The sequence below is a fragment of the Homo sapiens genome, chromosome 14 (assembly GCF_000001405.40).
Source record: "Homo sapiens chromosome 14, GRCh38.p14 Primary Assembly".
NCBI classification, from domain to species: Eukaryota; Metazoa; Chordata; class Mammalia; order Primates; family Hominidae; genus Homo; species Homo sapiens.
This window is the reverse complement of record NC_000014.9, coordinates 62,691,956-62,695,516: the sequence shown is the minus strand read 5'-3', so window position 1 is coordinate 62,695,516 and position 3,561 is coordinate 62,691,956. Positions and strand designations below refer to the sequence as shown.

The 3,561-nt window shown below is 40.3% G+C and overlaps 2 annotated features.

The window, feature by feature from the left end:
* Nucleotides 3,052-3,346: an enhancer, noted in NCBI's record as "tiled region #7830; HepG2 Activating DNase unmatched - State 5:Enh". NCBI's record gives its function as "activates a minimal TATA promoter and a strong SV40 promoter by Sharpr-MPRA in HepG2 cells {active_cell/tissue: HepG2}" and the evidence as "EXISTENCE:reporter gene assay evidence [ECO:0000049][PMID:27701403]".
* Nucleotides 3,052-3,346: a silencer, noted in NCBI's record as "tiled region #7830; K562 Repressive non-DNase unmatched - State 24:Quies". NCBI's record gives its function as "weakly represses a minimal TATA promoter and a strong SV40 promoter by Sharpr-MPRA in K562 cells {active_cell/tissue: K562}" and the evidence as "EXISTENCE:reporter gene assay evidence [ECO:0000049][PMID:27701403]".

Below are 3,561 nucleotides of genomic sequence, written 5' to 3'. Positions count from 1 at the left end.
CTCCCTTCTATTCTCTGGCAAGATGTCTGTACCTTTTACAGGGCTGCATCTTGTGTGTTTTTCTTGTTGTTTTATTGAATTGACTTTGATATAAAACCAAGATTCTTATAATTTTGCGTGTTGTATACGGATGTTTGGATAAGTAGAAATATCTACTATTTTTCAGTCTCAGACACCCTCACATATAATGCTTCTAACAACCTCGTTAGAGAAATAAGCCCATAGGCTCTGGGTGATAACCCCTTGTAACCTCACATAGCTAGAAAGTATCAGAAAATGTTTTCAAACTCAGGTCTCTGACTTTCAGCTCTTATTTGCCTCAAAGTGACTCTCAGACCTGCATTAGGCCCTTGGTTTTTACATCAGGACCTATAGAAATAAATGTTAAAATTATTTTTTGGAGGATTTGTAATCTGATTACAGAATTCCAGGGTTTAGCCTTGTGCTGAAGTTCCTAACATAGGAAAAATGCTAGGGTTCCCCTTCGTGTATGTTCTATTTACAGATATGGAGTATTACAATTCATGGCATCCACTTAGTTTCTCCTTTGCATGATGACCTATGTGGAAAAGTCCCACAGGAGCATTGATATCTGTGCAGGACACTATGGTCATGTATACATGAGCTACTTAAGGAAAAGGGCTGTGGCCAGGAGCGGTGGCTCACGCCTGTAATCCCAGCACTTTGGGAGGCTGAGGTGGGCGGATCACCTGAGGTCGGGAGTTCGAGACCAGCCTGGCCAACATGGCGAAACCCCATCTCTACTAAAAATACAAAAATTAGCCAGGCGTTGTGGTGGGTGCCTGTAATCCCAGCTACTCAGGAGGCTGAGGCAGGAGAATCCCCTGAACCCGGGAGGCGGAGGTTGCAGTGAGCCGAGATTGCGCCATTGCACTCCAGCCTGGGAACAAGAACGAAACTCTGTCTCAAAAAAAAAAAAAAAAAAAGGAAAAGGGCTGTGTCCCTTCTTGTTTAATAGCTCCCTACAGTGTTTAGAAGTGTGCACTATACCCAGTATAGCTACTACTATTAAAAGTCTTGAAAGAATGCTTAGAGTAGTTCAAGTCTATTTCTTTAAGACTCACTCCTGTTTTGAAAAGCTTCAGTACAGCTAAGTCATGCAGGAGGATATATCTATCACTTGGTATTCTCTTTGCATTCAAAATGAGTGAGACATCATAAAACACTTCCAACTCCCTGACAATGTGTATTATGTGGCCTAGAACACCATGTGATGCCTTGATATGTTTGTGCGTCACCGGGCCCCAAAGACCTAACCATAAGTTCCCTTGTTCTTGCTAGATGTGTCCCCTTGACCCCCAGTGAAAAAGGCTTCCACCTGGCTAGTTTCCCTATTAGTCAGACCAGCTGCACTCCACCAGTCTGCAACCTAACAGGCTTTCATTTTCTTGCCATCCAACAAATTTCTTCAAACAATCCAATCACATCCTCCTGTGGGAACCAGGGGTTATCTCACCCCCTTGTTACTACAAAGTGTGCCTCACCATGGCCTCTGATTGTTCTGAGTCCAACCCCAGTGTGGCCCTACATGGTATGGGATGTTCTTCTCCTCTGGGCTGTGAGTATATGTGACCAACAAATTGCTATTTCATCTGCCCAGGGTTTGGTGTTTGGCCATCTTGTATTATTTAGGGTGGGGGACTCCTCCCTCACCGACGGGGTGAACAGGAGGCCACTAGAACAGAATGATAATTCACTTTATTCAGGAGAATTTTAGTGTCCATCAACTAATACTGCTCAACAAAAATTAGCACATTATGGCTGTTCTCACTTTGATGGTTTAATTAAGTGAGGGTCTCTGTATATCATAAGGCTTTGTAGTCAAACGTGGTGATACTCTGTGTATAAATTTTGGATTTTGTCTTTTGCTGTGATTTCATAATAAAGGTGATTGGTTTAGCTTGGACCTGCATCAGCCAGGTAGTAAAAATGAATCTCTTTTTAAATCCAGTTTGAATGCTTAGATCAAATGTGTTTTCCTCTTTCACCGTTCTTAATGGTGGAGTTCGTTGATGCAATAAAAGTGAAATAATGACACTTTGCTTTTTGCAAATGTCTTCACTTTTCAAGATACTTTGCATTTTCAAGGTATCAATAGCTTTACAGTTATCTGGACAGTTCAACAGTGAAGGAAATGATACTTTTTCAAAGTTTCTATACAATCTTTTCACTACTCCAAAGAGTTTGAAATGATCGTGTAGATCAGTAGTTCTCAACTGGGGCCAGTGTTGCTCTTAGGGGATAGTTGGCAATTTGTGGGAGTGTTTTGGGTTGTCTAATTAGGGCGACAGTGCTTCTGGCATCTAGTTGATAGGGACAAGTGATGCTGCTAAACATCCTACAATGAATAGAATAACTCTCATAATGAAGGTATTATCCCATCCCAAATGCCCAAAGTGCTGAGGTTGAGATTCCCTGATTTAGACCACACGGCATGCTGCTTGCTCTTTTCAAATTACACAAACCATTATGTGAATGATTTGACCCACAATTCAGCCACAGTCAGAAGTTGGCTTATTCAGAAAGTAACTCATGAGAACATTCCTAGAAATAGTGCAAAGCACCACAGTAGAGGCTGGGGGTTAGGGCACGGCAGATCCATGCTCATCCTTTCAGTCTGTATATAATCTCTACATCCCACAGTCCCTTTGTGCCTGTCTGAATAGAGCAGAACCATATTCTGCCATGACAAAGCAAAAATTCCCAGTCCAATGCTATAACTTTCAGTTCAGAATAGACTTTACAGAACATTTGTGTCTTTTTCATTTGATATTTAAGTATTCATACACAGATACTAGCTTCTTTCATGTGAAATTTGTAATTTAAAAAATGGATTAGTTTTTATTTTGGAAGAAGAATCTGCTCAACAATCAAATAACTCTTTTAACTGTCTGTCAAGTTATAAATGAGCCTAGTTTTGATACTATCCAGTTTATTATAGCTTAAATTGTAGGGGATCTAACAAATGTTGGTAAAAATGTCTTCTGTGGGCTCATTAGTATCATTTTTAAATGGAGGCTCCGCGGCTTCATTGAGCTGAATTCCTGCCCTGCCTTGCCCTCTTTCCTTTCTTATGTGTACACAGCTCTGACTCACTCATTACACAACCTTTGGAAAGAGAGTATGTGCTTAGAGGCAGAGATATGGGCTTGCCTGTGCACGTCAGTGCAAAAACTCATTGAGAATCCTGCTTAGGTTTATGTTTCCATTACCACTATTATTGCAGATCTGACTGAATGTGATGGCTTCTACATAATTACACACACATACACCTCATTCATGTAAATGAAATAAGCTTATGAGGCAAGTAATCATCTTAACTTGATAGCCACCACTCTTATTTCTTTGAGAATTAGGTGATATTTCTAGACTCTAGGAATCTTGCTTCCCTTAGTCCTGACAGTGAGCCACACTTTGTTTACAAATGAATTATGTCTGGTATTTGTACATTGGCACCAGTGAGATCTATTGGAGAAGTTTCATTGTGAAACTTTATTGCTTCTTAATTAATAACTTTATTATAGTTTAACTAGCATACAT